The sequence below is a fragment of the Homo sapiens genome, chromosome 3, assembly GCF_000001405.40.
Source record: "Homo sapiens chromosome 3, GRCh38.p14 Primary Assembly".
Taxonomy (NCBI): domain Eukaryota; kingdom Metazoa; phylum Chordata; class Mammalia; order Primates; family Hominidae; genus Homo; species Homo sapiens.
The window spans coordinates 14,860,681-14,887,559 of record NC_000003.12 but is presented as its reverse complement, the minus strand read 5'-3'; the positions used below and the strand labels follow the sequence as shown (position 1 = coordinate 14,887,559).

The 26,879-nt window shown below is 50.4% G+C and overlaps 1 protein-coding gene across 6 annotated transcripts in view, besides 2 other annotated features; it reads right to left on the bottom strand.

Moving 5' to 3' along the window:
- FGD5 (FYVE, RhoGEF and PH domain containing 5) overlaps positions 1-26,879 on the bottom strand; it is a 123,884-nt gene that overhangs the window by 47,012 nt on the left and 49,993 nt on the right. For all 6 annotated transcript variants that reach the window (XM_011533422.2, XM_011533423.2, XM_047447514.1 and 3 more), the window contains 3 exons: positions 23,300-23,432; positions 6,930-6,988; positions 6,788-6,818 (listed from right to left, as the gene is read on the bottom strand). In XM_011533422.2, coding sequence (XP_011531724.2) covers positions 6,788-6,818; positions 6,930-6,988; positions 23,300-23,432 — 223 coding nt within the window. The remainder of the gene's footprint in view (positions 1-6,787; positions 6,819-6,929; positions 6,989-23,299; positions 23,433-26,879) is intronic.
- Positions 8,239-8,740: an enhancer, noted in NCBI's record as "H3K4me1 hESC enhancer chr3:14920327-14920828 (GRCh37/hg19 assembly coordinates)". NCBI's record gives its function as "activates a minimal SCP1, AML or CMV promoter by ChIP-STARR-seq in primed H9 embryonic stem cells {active_cell/tissue: H9 hESC(primed)}" and the evidence as "EXISTENCE:reporter gene assay evidence [ECO:0000049][PMID:30033119]".
- Positions 23,395-23,976: an enhancer, noted in NCBI's record as "H3K27ac-H3K4me1 hESC enhancer chr3:14905091-14905672 (GRCh37/hg19 assembly coordinates)". NCBI's record gives its function as "activates a minimal SCP1, AML or CMV promoter by ChIP-STARR-seq in naive H9 embryonic stem cells {active_cell/tissue: H9 hESC(naive)}" and the evidence as "EXISTENCE:reporter gene assay evidence [ECO:0000049][PMID:30033119]".

Genomic DNA, 26,879 nt, shown 5'->3' with positions numbered 1-26,879 from the left:
AATTTTTTTTTTTTAGGGACAGGGTCTTGCTATGTTGCTCAGGCTGGAGTGCAGTGGCTATTTACAGGTACGATCAAGGTACACTGCAACCTAAGCTCAAGTGATTCTCCTGCCTCAGCCTCCCAAGTAGCTAAGACTACAGGCATGCACCCCCATGCCTGGCAGGAAGTTTTTTTTGTCTGAAGAAAGGATAGGACTGCTGGGAGGAGAACTTGCTCCACCATCACTCATTCACTGGATACATACTGAGCATCAGCTGTGTACCAGGCATCACAAGCCACTGGGAACAAGGGTACGGGTCCAGCTCTTTGCCCTCAAGGAGCTCAGAGTTTAGTGATGAAGGCAGACAGCAAACAAGCACCTAAAAAGAGCCCCAAAACACATGAAGCAAAACCTGACAACTGACGGAGAGACATACAACCCAATAATCATGGCTGACAGGTCAATACGCCTCTCTCAACAATAGACAAAAAGTGAGGATGCAGAAGACTCAACAGGATCCGTCAGCTCGACCTATGCAGCATCCACAGAACACCCCACTCAACAAGAGCAGAGGGCCCATCCTTCTCAAATACACATGGAACATTCTCCAGGTAGGCTAGGGCGTATGCTGGGCCATAAAATACATTTAAGTAAATTTAAAAGGACTGAAACCATAAAAAATATGTTTTCCAACCACAATGGGATTAGCAGAAGGATAAATTAGAAATCAGCAGCAGGAGATGTGGGAAACACACAAATACTTGGAAGTTACACGACGCAGTTTTAAATAATCCATGGGTCAAAGAAGAAATCACAAAGGGGATTATTAATAGAAAGTATTGTGAGCCGCATGAAAATGAAAACACAACATAACCAGTCACAAATACATAAATTAGGTAATTTCAAACAGGGAAAGGTGGTGTGAAGAAAACGAGGTGTGAGAGGGAGTGCAGAGGAGGGAAGTACACCTACAGTGTGTCACCCTCCCCGTGTCCACACCCTTGCCACAGCCTCATCGGAGGGGAGAGCACGTCCCTGCCCCTTACGCCTTTGGGTCTGGCCATGGCACCTGCTGCTGCCACTGGGGTGTGTGTGGAAAGGATGATGTGCCAGTTGTGAACTTGATTCTAAGAAGCCCTCTGCTGTTTCTCCTGCCATCGCCATGGGAAGAGCTTCCCGGGGTGCGTGCTGCCCCTTCAGCCCAGGTCCCAGGATGAACACACAAGAAGCAGAGCCACCAAGATGAACCCAGCTTTCACTCAGCTTCCTCTGCAACTAGGAGTACCCAAGGAGATGAAAGGAGAAGTTTGACAAGTGAAGCTTTCAGGGGACTAACCCAGCTGGGAGACATGACCTGTTGCTTTTCTACCTTTCTCCTTCTTCCTGCCTGGGATATAGATGCAATGGTTAAAACTGCAGCAGCCAACCTGTGTTCATGAGAAACCTTGGAAATGGATGCTGCAGATGGAACTTTAGTCCCTGAGACTGCGTGGAGTTGCCAGATTTGACCTGGATCGCCTGCTTCTGGATTTATTTCACAAGAAAGAAGAATCTCTAAATTACTTAAGCCATGGTAATTGAGTTTTTGTTACTAGCAGTCAAACACAATTCCTAACCAACACAGAATGTTTAGGAAAAACTTCTGTAGTAGACTGTCTTTTCCAAAAACACCCACAACAATCTCTCCTATCTCAATGGTCTTTATACAATGTGAGCTCAATATTCCTCCCATTGAATAGGAGAGACTATGTCCCCTCCCATTGAACCTGGGTAGACCTTTGTGACTGTCTTAACTCATAGGGTATGGTGGAAGTGGTGCTATAGGACTTCCAAGGCCAGATCATAAAAATGCCATTCACTTCTACCTGCTCTCTCGGGACACTTACTCTTAGAACCCAGCCACCATGCTGTGCAGAAGCCCAAACTCGCGTAGGCAGAGACCACATGGAGTGGCCACAGATAAGTGTTCTGGCCAACCTCCCAGCTTAAGTCTCGGACAACAGCCAGCCTCAACCACCTGATGTGTGAGTGAAGATGTAGGGAGCCGAAGGCCCGTGGGACGTGACCAACTCAGCATTCCGCTGGAGGCTATATGATCAAAGAGCAAACTGTTTATCATGAATGCAGGATGTGGGCAAACTCACGACTGCACCTGCGGACAGAAGGTTTGCTGGAGGCAATCACTCCCTGGCACTGAGGTTATCTACCGCGACATCTAGAGAAAGCAGTCTTGCAAGCCTACTCTGGACCGAACAGCTGACCCCTTCTTCCACCTCTCTTCTCACTATCTGTTTTGCCTAATAAATACAGAGGGCTGTGTAAAGCTCTGGACCCTTGTCCACTAGAGGCAAGGTGCCCCCTGACCCCTTCTTCCAAATATACTCTTTTGTCTACTATGTAACCTGCACAGACCTAGAGGAACTGAACAAAGGGGGCGAACGTGGGAATAAAAGATAAGAGTCAAAAGAGTATATTTGGAAGAAGGGGTCACCTTGCCTCTAGTGGACAAGGGCCCTAAGCTTTACACAGCCCTCTGTATTTATTAGGCAAAAGAGATAGTGAGGAGGGAGGTGGAAGAAGGGGTCAGCTGTTCGGTCCAGAGCAGGCTTGCAAGACTGCTTTCTCTAGATGTCGCGGTAGATAACCTCGGCGCCAGGGAGTGAATGCCTCCAGCAAACTTTTTGTCGGCAGGCGCAGTCGTGAGTTTGCCCACATCCTGCACTCATGATAAACAGTTTGCTGTTTGATCATATAGCCTCCAGTGGAATGCTGAGTTGGTCACTTCCCATGGGCCTTCGGCTGCCTACATGAAGACACCTCCGGTGATCCCAGCTCCTAGCCATCAGGTCACCCCCGGTCTTTAAGTCTTCCAGCTGAGGCCCCAGACATCATGGAACAGAGACCAACTCCCACCACCGTGCCCTGTCGAAATTTCTAGTCCAGAGAGTCTGTGAGCATAACAGCATGGTTGTCTTATGCCACTAAGTTCTGGGGCACCAGTAGTTTGAAGTGGTAACACTTGAGCTGAGACCTGAATGGGAAGATCGGGGTAGGACCTTCCAGCAGAGGGAAGAGCAAAACTGTGAGATGTGAATGCATTCGCAGTATCTGAAGAACAGAAAGAAGGCCAGTGTGGCTGAAGGCAGTGATGAAGTAAACGGTAAAGGAGGTACTGCCAGAGAGGTGGACAGGGGCCAGGTCATGTGGGCCTCCTGTGTGGGGAAACTTATCCTGGGGCAGGATGGTGACAACTTCCAGAGTTATCTCCCAATCAGCAAACTGGCTTCTGAACAGGCCTTCTGAATGGCTTAGCCCAAAGGAGGGATTGGTAGGAACTTTTGGCTTCCTCTAGGAGAGACTTGTTTTAGATGAAAAAACAGAGGATAGAAGGTGTCCAGGTGCCACACCTGTTCAAAATCTCTAGCTGTTCACCATGTACAAGGAAAGGCATAAGGTCCTTGGCCCAGCATTTTTGGTACTTCTCGATCTGGTCCTAGCCTTATTTGGGGATCCATTTCTTGATCCCTGATCCTACCTCCTACCTGGCTTTCCAAAATTTTCTATGTTCTAACCATGTGCAATGATGTGTCATTCTCCAAACATACCATGAGCCTGTGAGCATTTGCTCATGCTGACTCCCTTACCTTACACGCCCTCTTCCACCACTACCCTGGCCTGGTGAACTCCGAGAGTCCATCTCAGTGGCACCTCTTCCGCAAACCTTCCTGCATATGTCTTTCCCTCCCTCATGCCCCTGCAGATTCTGCACAAAACTACAGTTCTGCAAATTATACTTACATGGAGTAATGTAAATTGTCTGTTCACATACTGATTTCTCCTCCCCACCTCCACCCTCTCTCCCTGCAAAAGGAAACCTACTCAAGGGCAGGTTCAGAGCCTTATTCAGCTTTGGGGCTCCAAGGCCTATTTCAGTGCCTACAGTAAACATCCTGTGATGTTTCCAGAATGAATGGTCAATTCAGATGGATAGATGAATGGATGGATTGCTGTTTGGATGGGTAGATGAGGAATGGACGGATGGTTGGATAGGTGGGTAGACATCTGAGTAGTAGATTAATTGAGAGTGAATGGGTGCATGGTTGTGTCACTTGATGCATGAATAGATGAAAGGACAGATGAGTGGGTGAAAGGCTGGCTGGCTAGGTGGACGGGTAGAGATTGACAGATGCGCAGGTGAGGAAAGTTCTTATGACTGGGTTCCTGGAAGGATGGAAGGCAGCCGTTAAACCAGAAGTCAGTAAGCTTTTTCTGTAAGGGGCCAGATGATAAATATTTTAAGCTTTGTGACCCACATGTGGTCTCAGTCGCATATTCTCCTTTGTCTTTTTTCACAAATGTTTAAAAATGTAAACTCCATTCCTATGGAGCCCATAGGTTACACAAACCCAGGACTGTGGCCATCAGGATGACTAGAATTCATGGCAGCCACTGAGTTAGCTATAACTACCATGTGACAAGCACAGAGCTACACCTCAAACACAGAAGGCCACTCCGCGCCCCCAACAACAATAGCACAATGAACCCAGGACCCTTCCTGCTGGGGAGATTTGGGGGACACCGTCAGCTCCTCCTCATCACTGGACAGCCTTGGGATCTCGACAGCACCAATCTCTAAGAGGAAATTCTGAAGAACTTGCCAAGCTTAGCAACCAGGGATAGATTCGAAGCCAGGGAGTGGTGGAGAGTGCCCCAAAGTCTATGGGTCTCCTTTAAGACTCATGTCCCTAGCTAGGACCTGGAGTCACACTGGGAGATGTCTGCCCCCTCTATCCCTGTAAGCACTGATATGTTAAAATACAGCTCCAGACCACAACTTCCTGCAACCAACTTCTAAGTGGTGACTTTTTTTTTTTTTTTTTCAGACAGAGTCTCCCTCTGTCACCCAGGCTGGAGTGCAGTGGCACGATCTCGGCTCACTGCAACCTCCTTCTCCTGGGTTCAAGTGATTCTCCTCTCTTAGCCTCCTGAGTAGCTGGGATTACAAGCGCCCACCACCATGCCTGGCTAATTTTTGTATTTTCAGTAGAGATGGGGTTTCACCATGTTGGCCAGGCTGGTCTCGAACTCCTGATCTCAGATGATCAGCCCACCTCGGCCTCCCAAAGTGCTGAGATTACAGGCATGAGCCATCGCGCCTGGCCTGAGTGATGACTTTTATGGGCTCTCCCTTCACCCCATCCTCAGGATCTTATTATGGATTACCAGGGGCTTCAATGTCTTTCCAACTGGCAGGAAGCAGGGCAAACATAGATGCAAGTTTCCCAGTTAAAACCCTCTTATGAAGTCATAAAACAAAATTGCCCAGCCCCTCTGTCATGCTGTCAGCCCAGAAATAAGGGAGAGAGAAGTTAAAAAAAAAATGGGAAACTGATCCTTCAGGCCTTTGCCAAATAGATCTTTTAGGTATAAAAGCTGAATGGGGGCTGGTACATTTCATACTTGAGGGCTTTGGGGTTCAAGAGTGCACACAAGGCTTTCATCCTGAGGGCACAAAAATGAGGGGCCGAGAGCACCAGACCAGAGTAGTGCTCTATCCGCCCTCCTGGGGTCCTGGCTGCTATCAGCTCATGTGGGGATGTGATGCCAGGGTGACATTGCTGACAGGGACCTCAGCTGGGTTCAGCAAGAGGCCTGGCTTGATGTTGAGTGCTCTGGTACACCCAGAGATGGTCCCTGCCCCATGGAGCTCCCAAGGCAGCCAGGAACACCCAGTGAATGCGAGGGGAGTGGCCTGGGAGCCAGGAGACCTGGTGCTTGTCCTGGCTCCACCACTGTGTGACTTGGGCCATGTCACCTCCTCTGGGCTTCCACATCACCACCTACAAAATGTCCAGGTGCACATTCCCAGCTCTGACATTCTTAGAGATGGTGAATGATTCAAAGCACCATAGAACCCAGTGCTCAACCATGGCAAGAGTGCAAATGGCCCAGAGAGAGCTCAAGGGAGCAGGAAGCCTGAGACTGCCATGGTTCCCTACTTCCCGAGTCTTTGCTGTGCCCTCTTCTCACGCTTCGCTATGGCCTAGCCCTTAATATCACCTCCTCAGGGAAGCCTGCCCAAGGTTGTTGGTCACCCCCTCATCCGTCCCCTTTGCTGGCCAGACAGCTCCTGGGGAAGGGCCCTGTCTGACCTGTCTTCCCATTCTCCAGTTCTTGTTATGCAGCGAGAGCTCAAAACAATGTCTGCTGAACTGAACTGAGCTGACTGCAAAGGGACACTCTGCAAGCTGTCCTGTGAGTTACGAAGGGGAGCAGTGCCTGTCCCCAAGTCTGGCCTCCTTTCCTCTGAAAGCCCAAAGGAGCCCCTCACCACCAGCTCAGGCACTACCACCCTGACACTAAGGAGACTGAGGAAGACTCTTGATACCCTCAGCTGCTCTGTCACCAGGCAGACACCTTCTCCATACGAACATAAACATCACACACACACAGGTGCACAAACTCACATACACAAACTCACACATAGCAATCCCCAGAAACACTCCACTGTCCTCTTCCTGCCTTTCTCAGCAAGAGGGCTAAGGAAACCTCAAACAACCTGCACAAAACCTCAGACCATGCCCCCATGCACCCCATCCCTGAGCAAGGAGACGCATCCGCTGTCTGCCCCCGGAAGCACATTAATCAGGAGACGGACTTCCCTGAAAAGCGTCGGTGAGTGCCTGCCTGCTGCCAGGCCTCTGTTAATGGAAATCACCTCTGTCTCCACATTGCTTTCCTGCCTCTTATATCACAGACTTGTAAAAGGGCAATTAGTTTTGGACAATTAAAATGATTAACTCACCAGATTTAAGTGCTGGAGCATCTCCACGTATCTGCAGAGGGAAAGAGGGTTGAGGCTGCATTAATCCCCATCCTGTGTAAGCCCAGGAGGGTGACGTTTTGTTTATAAGCTCAAGGCCACAGGCAGCTCCTTGGGGACTCACGCTTTCTCTGAAGATAGCAGTTCCTGTGCGATGACAAGGGCTCTGGACTGTCCTTCCACCTGTGGGAGGAAAGAGAGCAATCAGGTGGGACAGGCATCAGTGGTTTCTAGAGGAGGCCACCATGCTGCTGGAGGCAAGTTCCAAGCATTTTGCAGACCATTTCCTGGCACTCATTACTTGTATGTTCTTCAACAACTTATTTAACCTCTCTGCACCTCAGTTTCCTCATCTGGAAATGTGGATTTTATTTTATTTTAAAAATGTATTTATTTTATTTGAGACAAGGTCATGCTCTATCACCCAGGCTGGAGTGCAGTGGCGTGATCTCAGTTCCCTGCAGACTCGAATTCTCAGGCTCAAGCGATCCTCCTACCTCAGCCTCCTGAGTAGCTGGGACTATAGGTATGTACCACCACACCTGGCTAATTTTTAAAATTTTTTGTAGAGACAGGGTCTCATTACATTGACCAGTTCAAGGCTGGTCTTGAACTCCTGGGCTCAAGCAATCCGCTCACCTTGGCCTCCCAAAGTGCTGAAATTATAGGCATGAGCCACCGAGCCCAGCTGTAAATGCAGATTTTAACAGCACCTAACTCTGAAGGTTGTTGAGCTAATGCCCAGCATGGCACCTGCCATTTAGTAAATGCTCAATGGCCATGATGATGGCATGACCTTTATATCCCACTTCATGACCCCACCAATCTTGAGCAACCTGTGGTTCCCTGTACTGAGGAATTCTCTCTTTTCTCTTGCTTTTGTACATGCTGTTCCCTCAGCATCCTTTCCCCCTCCCTCTACCTGGCTAACTCCCAGTCATCCTATAAGACTTAGCCACGGCAGCACCTCCTCCAAGAAGCCTCTCCTGATCCTCCCTGCTCAACGGGCTGGGCTAGGTATCGTTTCTGAGCATCCCCCTCTCACGACACTTATCATTACTGTGAAACAATTACATCTCTCCAGGAGGGCAGGGACCAGGAACTCCCACATCTGCATGACCAGTGCTTAGCATATGGTAGTTCTCTTTGTTGACTGAAAGAGTGAGTGAGGAGTGAGTGAGTGAGCGAGCGCACATTCATTCCCCTTGGGAAGCACTAACTCTGCAGGCTGACCTCAGATGGTGAGCCCCAGCTTCCACACCTATATGATCTGGAAATAGACTGAGATTATGTCTATAAACAGGAAGGATGGGCTGGGCTGAGACAGATGCCTGGGCCTTCTGCCACAAGCAGGCTCCTGCTGGGTGGCCCCAAACCTGCCGGATATCAGACACAACTAGTGGCTGGGATCCAGAGATGCAAAGACACGCTGTGGCGGCCTGATGAAATAGACGGGGGAGGCTGTGAATGTGCAGGCGTGGCTGGCAGCGGTGGCCCATGGCAGAGCAGAGGGCACTCAGCTGGGAACACCTGCCTCCTGGTACAACTCTATACAAATCACTTTCAAGGTCAAGCCTCAGTTTCCTCATATGTGGACAAACTAACCTCTAAATTCCCTTCTGTGCTGAACCTTGTGTGTTACTAAACTTAAGAAGCCACTCGTCAAGTGAGTGATCCACTCTAGTGATGAGAAAATCACTGCTGAGAAAGTCACTGCATAGTGTTGTGGTTAAAAGCATGGGCTCTGAGGCCGGGCACAGTGGCTCACGCCTGTAATCCCAGCACTTTGGGAGGCTAAGGCGGGTGGAACATGAGGTTAAGAGTTCGAGACCAGCCTGGCCAACACAGCGAAACCCTGTCTCTACTAAAAATACAAAAAGATTAGCCGGGCATGGTGGTGGGCGCCTGTGATCCCAGCTACTCGGGAGACTGAGGCAGGAGGCGGAGGTTGTAGTGAGCCGAGATTGCGCCATTGCACTCCAGCCTGGGCGACAGTGTGAGACTCCGTCTCAAAAAAAAAAAAAAAAAAGCATGGGCTTTGGAACTAGGCAGTTTCCTGTCTCTAACTCTTATTTGTTGAACAAGTCATTTAGCTCTCTGTGCCTCAATTTTCTTACCTGTGAAATGGGCACAGTAGGAGAATAGTATCCAGCACACATGCATGTCATAAGGATCAGATGAGTGTCTATATAGAGAATCTCTCACACTTGGAACTGTGCCTGGCACACAGCAAGCACTATGGAATTATTGGCCATCATTATCCTTGTTGTTTTTGTCACTGAGGTGGTGCCAGGAACAAAACCAAGTAACCAGGGATAGAAGAAGAAAAAAAAATTTATAGAATCGAGTAAGGGAAAGGCCTTAACTGCAAAATGAAGGCTGGGCCACTCCTCTGACAGTAGCAGCAGAGACAGTGGAAAGCAAATGGACTCTGGAATCAATCACATCCATTTCAAACCCAGCTCCAGCACTGTTTCATGGTATGACCTCTGGTGAGCCCTTATCTCTGAGCCTCAGTGTTTTCATCTGAGATCTGGTAGAGAATAACCAACCCGGTCTCACACACTGGCTTCTTGAGGATGCCTTCCTGACTCAGGGCCTCTGCATGTGCTGTTCCCTCTTCTTGCAATGCTCTTCCCCAGATCTTTTCATTTGTATTTTCTGGTTCCTTCAGGTCTCTGCTCAAAAGTCACAACCTCAGCACAGTCATCCATGACTGCCTGACCTAAAGAACACCCCAAATCATTTTCCACCCCAGGGTTTCTCCATCTTGGACTGTTGACATTCTGAAGAATAGTTTTTGCTGTAGAAGCTGTTCTTACGTATTACAGGATAACTAATGGCATCCCTGGCTTCTACCCACTGGATGACAATAGGAGCCTCTACTCCCTCAACCCCCACTGTGACAATCAAAAATGTCTTTAGATACTGCCAAATGTCCTAGGGCTTGGGGTGATGCAAGACGTCACCCCTGGTTAAGGGCCCCTGCCCCATCTTTATCCTGCTGTGCTTTTCATCAGAGCAGACACACATCAGAGCAGCCTGGGCTTGCCCCTCTGCACTCAGGCTTCCTCACTCCGGATCCTCAGAACGTGGCCACAATGGCACAAAGACAACTATGCTGGAAGTCAAGATGCCTGGATCCTCCCCCAAACAAGGCCATGGGTGGCTGTGTGACCGTGGGCGAGCCCCTCTCAGATGCCTCTGTTTCCTCATCTGGCAAACAGGTGGGCGTTCCTATCCTGCCAGGATGAGGTCAGATGATGGATGGCAGCCGTCACACCATACCCAAACTTCTGGAGTTGCCATCATTACCACTGTTACAATCTCCAAGCTGTCGAGGACAGGCTTTTGGTAGGGTCCAGACACGGGCCCCTCTGCACGTCCCACCCAGCCCCTCCTGCCAGACGTGCAGATTCTGGGTGGGACGCACGGGGCAGTCCTGCTTCAGTGACTCTGCGATGATGGATGTGTCTTCGCCAGGCGGCCAACGGGGAGGCCTGGCAGGCTGTGTGCCCGAGGCACGCAGAAACTGCTTCTGGGCGTTGCCCAACTGGGCCATTTAATATAGATGTTTGTTTAACCAGGAAATGAACTCCGAGGCTGACGGCAGAGTCCAGGGACAGGCTTCTGGGAACAGGGCTCCTCCCAGGAGCTTGGGGGCTGGGGGTGCCAAGGCCCATGCTATTGCTATGGCATTTCTCAAGCTGAAGCTATGGGTGTTAACATCAGGCCACCTGCCCCTGCCTGAGGCTGTCCCCAGGGCTACTGGCCTCCTCCCTGGTCCCCAGCAAACCAGCTGGTTCAACACTTGGCTATTCTGGGACCCGGGCAGGTCGGGAGGGGTCCAGGGAACCTCAGTGTTAGACAGCGGGTCACACAAAGAGTCAAGAATCCGGGTCCTCTGTCTCCATGCCTTAGTTTTTCCAACTGTAAAACTGGGTGCTCAGCCTCCTTCGAGGACATCAGTTCCCAAAATATAGCCTGAGAACCTCTGAGGTATGTAAAGTCCTACCTTTTCCAACTACATATCTGTATGAGCCTAGATATTATTCATTTAAGTCAACCAAAACAATTCCAACCAACCGAGTGGGGAAGTGGATAGGTGAATCCAGCTACCTTCTGTTCAGCCAGACATTAATATTTGTAAAAATGTAAAAATGTCACTCTTTTGTTTTTTCTTGATTGTTTTAGAAAACAGGGTGGTTTATTTATTTATTTATTTATTTATTTTTTGCATAAAAGTGCTACTTGTATTAACATGTAATGGGTTTGTTATTTTAAAATGCATTAAAAGATGTTTCAAAATTTTCTGATTTACTTTCTAATGTGGTAAACATTGCAGAGATGTGATTCACAGAAACAAAAATTCTTTGGGGCCCTCGATCATTTTTAAGAGGGGAGGTGGGTCTGAGACCAAAAAGTTTTGAGAACCACTGTTTCAGAGGCTGTCACACAAAGACAGCAAAGGGTTGTGGATGGAAAAGCTCTTCATAATCAGTAAAGAGCTACAGGGGAGTGAGGCATTAGCATCGCTTTATTATTACAGAGGCCAGGGAACCCCAGGCCTTTTGGCCTGTCCCTCAGGATGGTCCCCAAGTATGCCCAGGGTCCACACAATCCTTCCCCACCATGTCCTACCTGTGGGAGAGGAAGGAACAACCTCAAGATGCCTATCTCGTCGCCTCCCCTCTCTGCGTACAGGCCTCCTGGGTCCACACCTGCTCGGCCTTTAAGATGGCGCAGCCTGATGTTAACAGCCACCTCTTTCTTTCACTGGTCTCTGCCAGTCCTTTGCCAAGCTCCTCGCCCCCAAAGCCTCTGTGTCTGGCTCGGCACACACCCCCATCAGTTCACACCTGTCCCCCTGCACCTGTGGTCACTGGGCACTCCAATCTGAATGCCCTGTGCTCACCTCCTTGAGACCTCCCTCCTCCTCAGATGTCTCTCAGCAGTGTCTCCCTCCACTCCCTCCAGCCTGGGCCTCACCCACACTCCACACTGCTCTACCTCTGAAGTCCAGGCTTCCCATCCCTCATCTTGGACCCAAGCTCTGACCCTCCCTGTACCCTTGACTGGCCTGTCTCTCATTCACTCTGAGCTCCAGCCTCCTAGCCATTCCCACAGCCTCCTTCTGTCACCTGCACCCTTGAGTGGCTGCAGAGGCTCCCAGCGCTTACAGAAAGGGGCCCCTGTGGCTCAGCTCAGGGCTGTTCCCAGTCCCCTCCACCACTCCTCCATGCCACATGGAGCTCCAGGTGATCCCTTAAGCCCACTCTATTTTTTCCTACCTCTGGGTGTGTTTGGTTCACACAGTTTCCTGTGCCCAGAATCCCCACACAGCCTCAATAAACATCTCTAGGTCACAGGCTACATCTGAGGTGCCCCCGATGCCCCGTATGCGCCAGCCTCTTCAGCCACGCAGCCCCCCTAAAATAACCCACATCCACACACAAGGAAGGGGCCACCTTCCATGGCTGTTTCAAGCCCTGGGGAAATTTTCCTTGTGAGTCTTCCATGTGTTGAGGGTCCCAATGAAGGGGCCAGCTGGAGAATTCTGAAGTCACATCTGGAGACGGGAGAGTGCTCAGAAACCCAGATACATGGGGCACTAGGCTCCAGGAGAACACAGTCTCCAAGTCCCCTGGGGACCACTGGGGCAGGCAGGGAACACAGGTGGGGGTTTCCAGCACAGCCTTCAACAGCTGCTGGAAAACTCAGAGACAGGTACTCAGGGAGAGGTGGCTCACTCTTTATCCCAGCTGTCACCAGGAGCAGGAAGAGGAGGCGGAGGAGAGTGAGTGCCTGCCAGGACAAGCGAGGGGAGAAGGAGGGACGCAACAGTGGCCCCCTGGCTTCCCCAGGACCAGCTGGTCAGTTTCCAGATCATGCTGACTAGTCCAGTTCCTGAAGTTAGGCTGGTGTGACTGTGGGTTTGGCCCAGCTACTTAAAAGACCTTTAATTTTGGAGAGATCTTTGGTTCTGGCTACAGTGTGTAACAAATTTGCAGAAGCAGCATGCTATCTTGGAACACCCTGAATGAGGGATCAGGAGGCCTGATTTCTACTCCTGACTTGGCCTCCAACCTGCTGAATAGCCCTGAGCAAGGAACAAGTGAGAAGCTGCAGTTTTCCTTCCAGTGATCTCCTATATCACTGAAACTTTGTTGAACAGTAGCTTGCCACCTCTCCCTCCCTCCACCCCCGGCAACCACTATTCTACTCCTTGCTTCTGTGAATTAGGCTATTTTATTTTTTAGAGACTTAGGGATCTCATTCTGTCACCCAGGCTGGAATGCAATGGCACCTGGGCTCAAGTGATCCTTCAGCCTCAGCCTCCTGAGTAGCTGGGACCACAGGCATGCACGCCATCACACCCAGCTAATTTTTTTATTTTTTGTAGAGACGAGGTCTCATTATGTTGCCCAGGCTGGTCTCCAACTCCTGGCCTCAAGTGAACCTCCTGCCTTGGCCTCCCGAAGTGCTGGGAACACAGGCATGAGCCACCATGCCTGGCCCTATATTTTAGACACCTCATGTAAGTGCACTCATGCAGTATTTGTCCATCGGTGACTGGCTTATTTCATTCAGCATCAAGCCCTCCAAGTTCATTCACATCGTTGCAAATGGCAGAATTCCCTTCCTTTTTATGGCTGAATAATATTCCATTGTATACACAGACCACATTTTCCTTATCCACTCACCGAAGGATGGGCATTAAGAGTGTAGGTCTGGCTGGGCGCAGTGGCTCACACCTGTAATCCCAGCACTTTGCGAGGCCAAGGCAGGTGCATCACCTGAGGTCAGGAGTTCAAGACCAGCCTGACAAATATGGTGAAACCCCATCTCTACTAAAAATACAAAAATTAGTCTGGCATGGTGGCGTGAGCCTGTAGTCCCAGCTACTCGGAAGGCTGAGGCAGGAGAATATCTTGAACCCGGGAGGCGGAGGTTGCAGTGAGCCAAGATCGTGCCACTACACTCCAGCCTGGGTGACAGAACTGTCTCAAAAAAAAAAAAGAAAAAAAAAAGTGTAGCTCTTACGTTAAACGTTCTTGCCACAGTGAAAAGAAACAGTGGTCTCTAAATGCTCCTTTCAGCTCTCTCACCTTCTGGAATCCTAAGAGAGTGACTGTGATTGTGATTAGCAGCTCCCCATGTTTGATGGCAAGAAAGGGCCAGTGTTGGCTCAAACAAGACACAGCCCTCCCCATCGCACTTAATTCTGGAAAGGTCCAGCCATGACTTCAAACAGCCGGCTAATGGCTGGATTCTATGCCTTCATCCCATCTGTTTTTGCCTCCTATAAACTTTTCTCCTCCTTTCTACTTAACTACGTCCTGCTCTCTTCCAAGGAGCACTTAGGCCTCACCACCTCCTGGAAGCCTTCCTGACTGCTCTGACTCTTACAACATAGACCCCTTCCACTGCTCATGGTTTAGTTCACACAGCTGGGCATGAGGGCTGCCCCTGAGACCTAAAAACAAAATCCTAAACTCCTCAACTGACTGAACAAGCCCCCTCTTGATCAAGGGGATCCCAGAAAAACCTTAAAGATTGAGTTCCCAGTCATGATGTGATGGGAGGTTGGACACACATCATTACACTCCTTCCCTCTTTCAGTTTAGACACAACATCTGACCAGCACTAATGTTAAAATAGAGATCATAAGACTTGACAGAATGGAATCTGTGGCAATACGATGCCAAATTATAAACAAGACCTAAGGCTGTGCCAGGCAAGGGTTAAGCCATGCACCCCACACTTAAAGAATGAATTCTGTTCTCACTGCCATGAGGTTTTTCTTTTTCACCAGCAGCTAAACAAGCACTGGCCTCAAGATAAGCAATGTCGAAACAATTGCAGCTCAGCCACCGTCAGACACTGACTAACTAAGCCCCCTGTTCTACCAGCCAAGCTACAGCTTTGATTGGATTGACTGGACAAGAGACTGATTTCTATGACTTTCTCCTAATAAGAGACCACCCACCATGGACTGGCTCTGGCTGGTTTGAGGAGGCTGTGCACTGAGTGCCTTCATGCCGCCCCAGCTTCATCTTTTGACATATAAGGCCTAACTGTAATACATTTAAGTCTCCACCCCAAGGTGAACATGGGACACATGCAACATGCACGCTTGCTTATCACACGTGCACACTGCCTTCTTTTATGAATATCCACAGCTCCTCCTATAATTTGCTGAATATGTAAACTTGTCCACCCCTGCAAGCATAAATTCCTGTCTTACCCCTCCCTCCCTCAAACAGGTGCTTTGAGTACCTGCTTTGAGCACCTGCTAAAGGCTTTAGCCAGAGGCTATACTTCCCAGCCCATGAGAACAGCCACCTTACAGGCTGTAACCCCTTATAAGAAATAAAGTCTCTTCTCCAAATTTAAAGATCTTGCCATTTTTCAGTTAAATTCCATAACCCTTCCATCTCATGTGAAACCTTGGTTTATTTTTTTAAAGTGTGACATACAACATTCAGAGTACAACATTCAGAGAAGTACATAAAATATGAATATAAAGTTTAAAGATCATCACATGAATTGCTTTTTCATTCTCCAACTCAACTGTTAAGTTCCCCAAAGTTGGGACCCCATTAGCTTCTTCTGTGGCATCTCCCAGAGCCGAGGGCACCACAAGTGCTCCACATAGACTGGGTGATTGCTGCACATGGGCCAGAGTTCAGACTTAAGTGAGCACACGTGAGTCACTGAGGATCTTGTCAACAGGCAGATCTGGGTTCGGCAAGTATGGGGTGGGACCTGGGATACTGTGTTTCTAATGATCCCCCAGATGCTAGGGTGCTGTTCGTCCACATATGGCACTTTGGCCATAGGCCATGAAGAGCGAGAGAGAGTGACCACTGCCAAGTCAGGAAGGAGAAAGCAAGACTGAGTATCATCTGTGGACCACATACCAAACACTAGGGCAAAGGGCATGTCTGAGACTCCCCTTTTGACTGAGGAAACTCAGCCACAGAACAAGCTGTCCCAGGGCCAGGGGATCCTAACCTGCCCAGCCCTTTGGCCCTGGCTGCCTTCAAGCCCCCCAAGGACCTCAGCAAGGCGTGTGAGGCATACACGTACCCAGGACGCCCTCCAGAACCTTGGAGCCCCTCTTCTCTCCCGTCCCCTCTGAGTTGTGTCTGCCTCCCTCCCTCTCCTCTGTCACCCGCCTTGCAATGTCTCTTGTGTTACTGTACTGAAATGCAGCACTCTCTGCATGGCTATGGGGGAGCCAGGGTGAAGCAACAGGAATATCAAAAATGCAGGTTGGACTCCCAGCTCCATCACTCACTGTGCAGAGTAAGTTACACAGAGCCAAACAAGTGTTTTCATTTTATTAAACTGTCAGACATTCGAGTTTGTTTTTCTTATGTAAATGCAGGAACTGGGCCTAATGTATTCTTTTGTTTATTAACTTATTTGAAGATATTCATTGACTATATCTTAATGTACTAGGCAGCAAGGACGCACCCATGAACAGGATAAACACAGTGTCTGCCCTCCTGGAACGACTGCCAGGGAAAGGCAAACGATGGGCAAGAAAACAGAGGAATGAAGAACAAGACTACAGCATAAGGAAATAGCCAGGAATGCTGTGACAGAGTATGGCAGAAGATCTAGGAGCCCTCTCTGAGGAGGTGACATTCAAATTGAGACCTGTAGCCAGCCAGGCAAAGGGCAGGGAGCACACTTCTGGTGGAGGAAACTCCAATGGCAAAGGGTCTGAGGTGGGTTTAAGGAGCAGACAGAACTCGTTTTGTATCTTGCATGATGTCTGGTCGAAGAACTGGGTGTCTACTGAATTTTCTCTGATCTGTGATTAAGACATGGCAATAAGAAGATGACACGTCAGGAATTCAGATCTTCCACATCTGGTGCTAACATCCAGAATAGCAAACACAGGAAGCAGGCAGGCCGGGGATGGGAAGAGGATGAGCTTGGTATGGGATGTGTTGAGTTTGAAGCATCTATGGGGCTTCCAAGAAGGTCCCTAAAGGGCACCAAGAAGCTCAAGTCTGGGGTCAGGCCAGATGGTGTGCTCTGGGATGCCACCTGCGTAGGGCTGGCCATGGCTGGAACGGGCTGCCGGCGAAGAGGGCACAGAATGAAGGATGGGGTCTGGGGGCGGTGGAGCCTTGGGAAATGCCTAAGACAGCAGAGTTGACAGAGTTGCACAGTCAGAAACGAAGGAGAACCAGGAGAGGACTGTCAGGCAAGCCCAGGGAAGAGGATGTTTGTTCCCAAGGAGGTGAGGCCACCAGGGCTGAGGCTCAGGGCTTGTGTAAGAGGGGTCTGAAGTGGACGGCGGAAGGGAGCCTGGCTCCTGGGTATCAAGAGGGTTGTGCAGCACCAGCGACAGCAGTAAGGGAGGTGGAGGAGTGAGGGAGGCTTCAATATGGCCATGGCCTGAGGGAAGACCTGACGAATCTCTCCAGCTCCCGCTCCCCTTCTTTCCCCAACCTCACCTTGCTCCAGCCACAATGACCTCCTAGGCTCTGGCTCACAGACTCTCTCCGCCCTCCTGCCCTTGCACTGCTCTCCTCTGCCTGGAAGGCTCTGCCCTAGGGCTTCACAGTGCGGGCTCCCTCATGCCATTCGGGCTCCCTCATGCCATTCCGTTCCCTCACAGATGTGTCTTCCTCATCCAAGAGCCCCTCCCTGGGAATTGGAACCCTTCTGCGCTATTGGCAGGAATGTTAAGAGGGTGTGGCTGCTGTGGAAAACTATATGGCAGTTCCTCAAAAAACTAAACACAGAATCGCCATATAATACAGCAATCCCACTTCAGGGCATATACTTACAAGAACTGAAAGCAGGGTCTTAGAGAGATCTGTGCACCCACGTTCACAGCAGTACCATTCGCAACAGCCAAGAGGTGAAAGCAACCCATGCATCTGTCAATGAATGAATGGGCAAACAAAATACAGTCCACCCATACAACGGAATCAAACTCAGTATTAAAGGGGAAAGAATTCCAACCCATGCTACAGAGTGGATGAACCTTGAGGACATTATGCTAAGTCTATAAGCCACTCACAAAAGAGCAAATACTGTAGGATTCCACTCATGTGAAGTCCCTAGAGTAACTGAACTCATAGAGACAGGAAGTGGAACGGTGGCTGCCAGGGGATAGGGGAGGAGGAATGGGGAGTCAGTGTCTAAAGGGGGCAGAGTTTCAGTTTGGGAAGAGGAAAAAGCTCTGGAAATGAATGGTGTTGATGGCTGCATGGCAATGTAATGTGCTTCATGCTACTGCACTGCACACTTAAAAATGGTTACGATGGTGGATTTTATGTTATGTGTATTTTCCCACAATTTTTTAAAAATAGAAAAATGAAGGCATTCTGTGTCTAAGATGCCCCCACCCCCAATCCCAGGAGCTCTGTTCCTCACGACCATAGCCAGTTTTGTTTGTTTGTTTGTTTGTTTGTATTGTTGTTGTTGTCTTAAGACAGAGTCTTGCTCTGTCGCCCAGGTTAGAGTGCAGTGGCTCGATCTTGGCTCACTGCAACCTCTGCCTCCCGGATTCAAGCAATTCTCCTGCCTTAGCCTCCAAAGTAGCTGGGACTACAGGCACGTGCCACCACACCCAGATAATTTTTTGTATTTTTAGTAGAGACGGGGTTTGACCATGTGAGCTAGGATGGTCTTGATCTCCTGACCTCGTGATCCGCCCACCTCAGCCTCCCAAAGTGCTGGGATTACAGGTGTGAGCCACCGTGCCTGGCTGCCAGTTTGTTTTTTATAGCACTTGTTACCACCTAATCCCATCTTAGGAGTTTTCTGGTTTACCTTCCATCCCCTTCTCTAGAATGTGAAACTCCAACAGGGCAGGCAGGGACTGGTCTGACTTGTCATTGCTGTGTCTTCAGCCCTTGAAAGGGTGCTTGCATGTTGGTCCTCCCTGACAATGAGCCAGGCACAGAGTAGACGCTCAGTATATATTTAATAAATAAGTTTCTGTGGAAGAAGAGGAGGGACTGGGAGTAACTGAGTGAAGATACAGACAGAAGAGAGGCAGACAGTGGAGAAAGTTCATGTTCACTAGGAGATGAGTATTGTTTTCTGGGAGTGGGAAGCACAGGCTGTGGTTCAGAGCCCCTTCCCCGGGGCCCAGGAGAAGCAAGAGTTTGCAGTGGAGCCAGTGTGCAGCTGTGAATCTAGCTCTAGAAGTCCATAGCACAGAGAAAGTGCATGGTGGTGTTTAACCCCAGCTGGGGACTGGTCCAATGGCAACAACCAGGGCTCAGGTGGACCCTTTAATTGGGGGCGGATGGTCAAGGTGAGGCTACAGGTGCAAGGACCAGGGACACCGGTCAGCCGGCCCGGCAAGAGCAGAGCTCTGGGCATGTGGGCCCTGCTGGGCAGGAGCAGACCTGCCACAGAGGGCGTGAGGACAGGAAGGGTCTGTTCCAGAAACAGGCCAGACTGGGAAACAAATGTGGCCATGAGACTCAGGTGGGGGAGGGGGTCCCTGGGAGGGGCTGCTGGCTACTGGGCTGGTCTCGGGGGAGCTGGTATTTAGCCTGAAAAGGCCCCATTAGACTCATTGTCAGGGAGGGCCGACACGTCAGCGAGTCTTTGAATGTCTCCTTTCATAAGGAGAGCTATTTTTAAGTCTTTCTTGCTTTCCTTCTCTCCCTTCCTCTTTCCTTCCACCTACAGCCTTTGTGTGTCTACGAGTGGGAGCGAGGAGAGGTCAGACATGTGGGTGGACCAGTGGGGCTCAGCCTCCTGTCCTGCTCCCAAAACCTCTCCTATCATGACTTGGCTGCTCCAAAACATCCAGGAAGGGTAGGCCTCACCACTGCACCCCCAAAAACACCTCCCGGGGCCCACAGGGTGACCACTCCTCAATCACACCTTCCCTGGTCTGCTCTTCTGAGGTGGTGGAGACAGAAAATCTTGCTCCCACGTCCCACACGATGTGACTAGGGCATGGAGATGAGAGGTCTTTGCCTTTTGGAGAAACTGAATTCTAAACCACAGTGGAAGACAAATGAGGATGGAGACATGACCCTTCTCCCCACCCCCACCCTACCAAAAATCTTCCTGCAGAAAAGTGGGGAAGGTCACTCACTTGGGAAACCTCCCTTCCCATCTCCACAGTGGTTCCGTGGTTGGGGAGCTCTGGGCACCAAGGGTGGCCAGGGAGTCTGCTGTCACAGCCTCTTGGGGGACTGTCACATGGTAGTGGATATGGAGATTTAAAATATGCCTGCTCTCTGGTCCATTGATTGCCTTCTGGGATCTACCCTTCAGAAAACCTTTTATGTGCATAAGGAGGTATGTGAACAAGTTCACTGCAATGCTGATGAAACTAGAAACACTGTAAGAATACTGCAGTGAGGAGATGGCTAAATAAACCATAGCACATCTGGAAAATGGAATACTATGCAGCCAGAAAAACATTTAACTCAGAACTCTATGTATCAATGTGGGAATACCTCTGGGATATTACTGAAGGAACCCAACTAAGTTACTTCAGGTTTCTTATAGTTTGATATCATATATGTAAAAACAACAAATCCACAAAACAATATACTGTGTGTTTAAGGGAATGGGGAATAGGAATGAGAGTTCGAGGGGACTTTCACCCTCATCTGCAGTGATTTACATATTCCGTGGTAGAGCATGCCTTGTGCAATTAAAGTGTAGGTTTTGACTTCAATTCTGGTATATAATGCAAGCCTTATAAAGAAGAATGAGGGGGAGGAGGGCACGGATGTCCAACCCTATAGCTGATGAGAAGTCTGGACTCTGGTGAGTGAACTGACCTGCTGGAAAGATGAGCCTAGACTCACCCACCCCCTCCCTGCTCTTGGGATGACCGGATGGATGCTCCTGCCTCTGACCCTGGCCTTGCTCTGGCTGGCCACAGGCTCTGCCTGGCTCTGGCCCCCACAGGACACATGAAGGACCCCTGTCCATGGCAGGGCTGCCCCAGCTTCATGACCCCAGTGCGTCACTGCTGAGTCCCGGCTGAACTTGGGCAGATTGCTTCCCTGTTCAGGCTCCTAGTCTCAATCAAAAGCTCTGACCTTGGTATGCTTCTTTCCTGAGTGGCATGCATTGTTCTAGTTCTCCTTAGACTTATTTACCTTCGTAACTATTCTGAAGCAGGTACTATTACTACTATCCCAACCTTACAGATGGGGAATCCTACGAGCAGAGTGGTCAGGAAGTTGCCCAAGTCACTCAGCCAGCAAGGGACAAAGCTGAGTCTGAACTTCTTAGTCCCTAGGCTGCTCTACCTCTTGCTAGCTCCTTAGTCCTGGGAGTGTCCAAGCAGTGGCCGGGAGACCAGATCCTGGGTAATAGCCAATGTCCAGGGCCCCAGAATTGCACATTCATACCTTTAGAATGGTTCTGAGCAGGACAGGCCCTCTCTTTCCATACTCCCCCTCTGTCTCAAGGATTCAGAAACAACAGATAATTACTACACCCCTATTGTATGGCCGGCACTCTCACATTTGTGTTCCCATTCAACCCTCCCACAGCCCCGCAGTTACTATTAGTGCTCTCTTTCAGAGATGGGGAATGACTGGCCTGCAGTGACATAGCCGGAAGAAGAGATGTGGGGGGTCCCAGAGGAGGGTTTAAAAGAGAACTCAGTGACCGTGGTGGGGTACATCACAAGGCGGGTGGGGACTCTGAGGTACAGAGTTGTGCATGGTGGGCTCCACTGCTCCATCAGCCCTCCGACGTTCTCGCGGCCAGTACCCAATTCCTGGTTTCAGGGTGGGGACCAAATCTCTGATGGCAACTATCTCTTTCTGCTCCCAGATTCCATGACCTCAGGGATGCCCAGAAAAGCCAAAATCATCTCTAAATGGGCACGACTAACTCAAGGCTCTCCTCCCTTCTCCACAAGGAGACAATACTCCTTCTTGGGAGAGGAGGAGTGGAGAGGTCAGAGAAGGCCCGCAGTGATAGGCAACACTGGACTTGGAGCCAGCCAGAGCTGTGCTTGAGACCTGACCCCTTCATTCACTAGCTGTGTGGCCTTGGGCAAGTTACTTAACCTCTCAGAACCTCTGTGTCCTCAACTGTAAAACAGGAGTAATGGTGCCAACTTTGAAGTTGTTGTAAGGAGTCAAGGAGATGACAAACATGGACAACCTCAGGACAGTGCCAGATACGTGGCTCAGTACCTAGAGAGGAAGAGGCAGCGGGGAGATGAGTGAGAGGGGAAGGGGGTGGGGAGGGTGTGAAGGAGCCACTGGAGAGAGAAGGGACTGAGGGGGAAGAGGCAGGAGAAGAGGGGAGTAACTCTCTTGAGGGCTCCTGTAGCACTTGGTAGGTAACTTTATGAAAACACAGTCCAGAGAGATCAATGGACTTTTAAAAGAAATCACCTTTGTGGAGAGAAAATGAGATATCCCCATTTGGCCAATGCTTGGTAAGTGTCAGGCACCTGTGCTGAGTGCATTCACTTGCAATGGTCTTTAATCAATGTAGCAAAACTAACCTAGGCTTGGAAGGGGAGGGATGATGGAGAGTGGGAGGCAGGTGCCGAAAAAGGTGCTGAGGTCTGCTGGGAAGCGGGCGAAGGGGGCGCTTCACTCTTTGCCTCTCCAGTCACCTCTCAACATGCAGGCATGGCCTGGCAGATGGGTGGGTTGGGTGGGGGCATTTCACCCTTCCTAGCCCATTTCCCTGCAGTGGTTGTGTCCCCCGCAGAACAAATGCCTAAGCCCCATATCACCCCGTGATGCTTCCTGGGATGCCACCTACCAGTCACATGCCTAGGCCTGCTCTTCACCTCTGCCCATTTCTGCAAATGTACATTGTGGGAAAGGATTCATGACTCTGAGAAGGGGTGTATGGAAAGGCTGGGACTTTGTCAGTGAGTAGGTGAAGGCCGGCTCACCATGAGTGTCCAATAGAGAGTGTATATTATCCCCATCAGCACTGATGCACCCGTGCCCAGCAATGAGGTCTGGGTCTTCACTGTGACGTGGCCCCCAACTCACCATCAGCCTCTAGACAGCAACCTCCCTCCAGCAACTCCATCCCCTCACAGCACTGCTGCAGGGCCAGGGAAACCAGCTTTCATCTAAAACTTTTCAGTTCACAAAATTCCCTGATAGCCTTTAACACATCTCACCCTCATGATTTCCACTTCACAGATGAGGAAACTGAGGCCCAGGGTGTCCAAGGTCATTAGAAGCTAGGCTGGTCTTCATTCAAATCAGGCAGCTCTATTCCACATCATCCACAAAGCCTCCAGAAAGCCCCAAACTTCATCAGACTCCAGAGAATACCGGCATGAGCAGTTGCCCTTGCATCACTGAGGCCAGTCCCCAGAAGGCGATGCTTCCTAGCGCCCTGATGCTGCGTGTCTCAGCCCCTGCATCCAGCTGGGGCCAGCTATCTGCAAACAGCTCCGTCCGCACCAAGGGAAGGAGCAGATCTGTTACAGCCATCTCTCCACCCTCACGTCTCCGATGCCCACGGCCTACCTGTGGGGTGCCCTACCTTGTGGGTGACACTGGGGTCTCTTGAAGCACTGTCCTCCTCCTCCGAGCTTCTCTGCTCTTCATCCGACGTAAGGTCCTCTTTGGGGGCTGCCGACGAGATGGGACAGACTTTGTAGGGCTCTGTGTAGGCGCTGGGTCAAAGCAGGGGAAAGAAGGGTTAAAGCTTTTTGTTTAGCATAGGCAAAGTGAACCTACCAGGGGTCCCATTCATGCCATGGGGACAGAAAACAAGTAGTAAGACTCAGGCACAAAATTCCTACTTCCCCACCCCCAGCCACACTGGCTTCCATTTGGAGCCCTGAACACACCAGGCTCTTGCTGCCCAGTGCCTTGGCACACGTTAAGACAGACTCACTTCCCTGCAGACAGGGGGCAGGCTCCCCTGCCAGAGGAAGGCCCGAATAACTCAGGATGCGGGCAGAAGATGTTGAATCTGGGTGGTCTGGGATCTGGACTGGCCTGGTCAGGCGGCAGGGTTAGTCCTTAAGGTGGCCGTGTGCTCTGGGCCTGAGTAAGGGATGCAATGATGTGGTGGACAGAATCCAGGACGTGTGTTCCAGCCCCTAGTCCCGGCCTTGCCATCGGCTAGATTGCAGACAAGACATAGCTCAGGGCATCAGTTCCCACTCAGCTGCATAGCAACAAGGATTCCTGTCTCACCTTCTTGGCAGGTGCTGTGAGCATCACAGCTCATTTAGGTGTGACAGTCTCATGTCTCTATGCCTGTGACTACTCTCCACAGGCGTTGCCAGTAAATAATGAACATAGCAGTCAGCACATATTTACTGACTGTCTGCTTTAAGCAGGCATGGGCTAGGCATCGAGTAAAACACTGGTGAGTGAAGCAGACATGGTCCCTGTCCTCAAATGTGAACTCATGCACAATCACAAACTGTGATCCCCACAGCAGGGGCTCTCAGCCCTTCTCTCTACACAGCAGACTGATTATTCCACAAAAGACTGTGCCCTTCTCCTGCCCAAAAACCTTCAGTGGCTCCCTCTTGCCATTGGCAACGTGGCCCCAGACAACTCACAAACCTTTCTTCCTACTCAAAATTTGGTCTTATTAAATCCTTACCAAATACTCCTGCCCTCTGGGAATGCCTGGATGAGATACTGGAATGACTGACGGATGGCAGGACGGAAGGGAGCAGCCACTTCCTGAACTGCCTGGGCCAAGCTTTCCCTCAGGCCCTGGCCCAGGCAGGGGGAAGTGAGGCGGGTGGGGGACATCAGGGGAGGAGAAACAGCCTTAGGGAATAGCTGAGCTAGGAGCCTATCCTGGAGCTCCTCAAGTATCTTTCATAGGAGCCAGAACCGCAGGTACCCAACCCCAGAGTACCTGTAGCCTAAGCAGCTTGGGGCTCTGCCAAGGCCAGAGCAGGGTCCCCTGCTCCACAAGGGGCTATAGGGCCAGACAGAGCAAGGACAAGGTGGCCTGTCTCTGCCTGGGCCTCCACTGACATAATGGGTTGGAGGTGGGGACTGTGGCTGCACACTTGTGTACAGAGGCAAACCCAGTCCTCACCAAGGTTGAGCCACGACTCAACCTACTAGCCAACAGGCTACCCTCTGGTCAGACCTCTTTCTTCTTCCTTTTCAAAAACATTGCTTTTTGGCCTTCTCTTTCAAATGATGAGGTGTTTTACAACAAGCCATATACCTACTACCAAGGTATACAAAGAAATAACACCCCGCCAGGCTTGCTGAGGTGTGCCAAAGCCTCCCTCCTGTCTCAGGGTCACCTCCACCTCCGCTGCAAGTCACCGTGCTGCCAAGGGCCACCAGCTCCCTCCACTGAGGAGTGGTCCCCAGCCTAAAGGTCAGGGACAACTCACCTGTTCGGCAGAGCTCAGATCAGGCTCAGTAAAGTGACTGCATGGACTGGTCTCACAAAACCCTCACTCCCCTCCCTCCAGAGCTGCCTGCATCAATTTGCAACCCTTTTTCCAGCAGACTTGGAGTGGAGTCCTGCCCTCCTTCTGAGAGAAACAGCCACCTCAGGCAGCAGGAGCAGGTGGTGCTCTATCCAGGATAAGCAGTAAGGATGAGGGATGCAGCAGTTAGCAGCACTCCTACCACTCCTCCTCCACATCCAAAAGGAAGGTGCATGCCAGGCAGAAAGCCAGAAACCCGAGTGTCTCCTAGCACAGCCACTATGTGAGCGTCAGGCTTACCTTCCTCCCAGGCTTACCTTCAAATACCTCCCAACCATACATCTAGCATCTCTAGCACAGCCTCTGCTGGCCAGGCCACCTCCTGCCTGAACATTTGTAACTGGTGCCTTCCTGAGCTCTCTGACTTCACCCTGGCTGTCACCCAATCTGTTCTCCACCCAGTGGCCATAATGACCATCTCAAAACCCAATCTGATCATGCTGTCCCCTGGCTTAACTTCTTCAGGGGCATTCCAGGGCTGCTGGGATTTGGCCCCAAGAGCTCAGCCTGTCCAGCAAGCCTGCGGGACCTGGGGAGGGCAAGGTGGGCACCCTCAGCTCCTGCTGCTGCTGCTGTGGTCTCCCCAGCATCAGACGCTGCTGGGCATCACAGAACCTGGGGGCTCTGCCTCAAGCCAAGCAGGGGGTGGTTTCCATGAGTCAGAGCCATGGGTGATACAGGGGAGAGGGCTCACGGAAGCCAAACCCCTGGAAAGGGGAAGGAGATAGCTCGAGGTCACGCGGCAAATCTGAGCTGACATACACTGCCTCTGAAGGTGCCTCTCTCCATGCTTGGTCCCTTTTAGAGACCTGAAAGCAGATGCAGTTGGGCCTGTCACTGCAGTGATATGTGGAGTTGGGTCTTGGGTGGGCCTTTGCTTTTGTTGTTATTTTACTTCTGTAAGTCAGTGGAGTGCGGAGATGAGAGCTCATGCTCTTGAGTTAGGCTTCCTGGGTTCAGATTCTGGCTTGGCTGTTTGTTGGCTGTGTTTAACCTCTCCAAGCCTCAGCAGTGCTCAGTTAACAGTGAGTTACATAACATCAGACATTCAGAATAGTTCCCAACACATGACAACTCAATAAACGTCAGCTTTCTTCACGATCAGCTCTGTATTCTCCTGTCCCTTCCTGTCTTTGTGCTTCCCAAACCCGAGCCACTCCCCCGTCTTCAGCGTGGCCGTTGCTGCCTCCAGCTGTTCTATCATTTGCCTCATGTTTTCTTTAAGTTAACTCATTTATAACACTTGCTACCAACTCTGGCCTCATCATCCTAAGTGATAATACCTGTGAGGTCATATGCTGTATTCTTTTAACACTGTATTTTTAAATGTATTATTATTTTTAGACACAGGGTCTTGCTCTGCTGCCTGAGCTGGAGTGCACTGGTATGATCATAGCTCACCGCAGCCTCAACCTCCTGGGTTCAAGCAATCCTCCCGCCACAGCCTCTCCAGTAGTTAAGGACTACAGGCACACACCACCATGTTCAGCTAATTTTTAAATTTTTTTTTTTTAAAAAAGGGGTCTCACTATGTTGGCCACACTGGACTCTAACTCCTGGGTTCAAGCAATCCTCCCACCTCAGCATCCCCAGTAGCTGGAATTATAGGTATATGCCACCACACCCGGACCCTTTTAACAC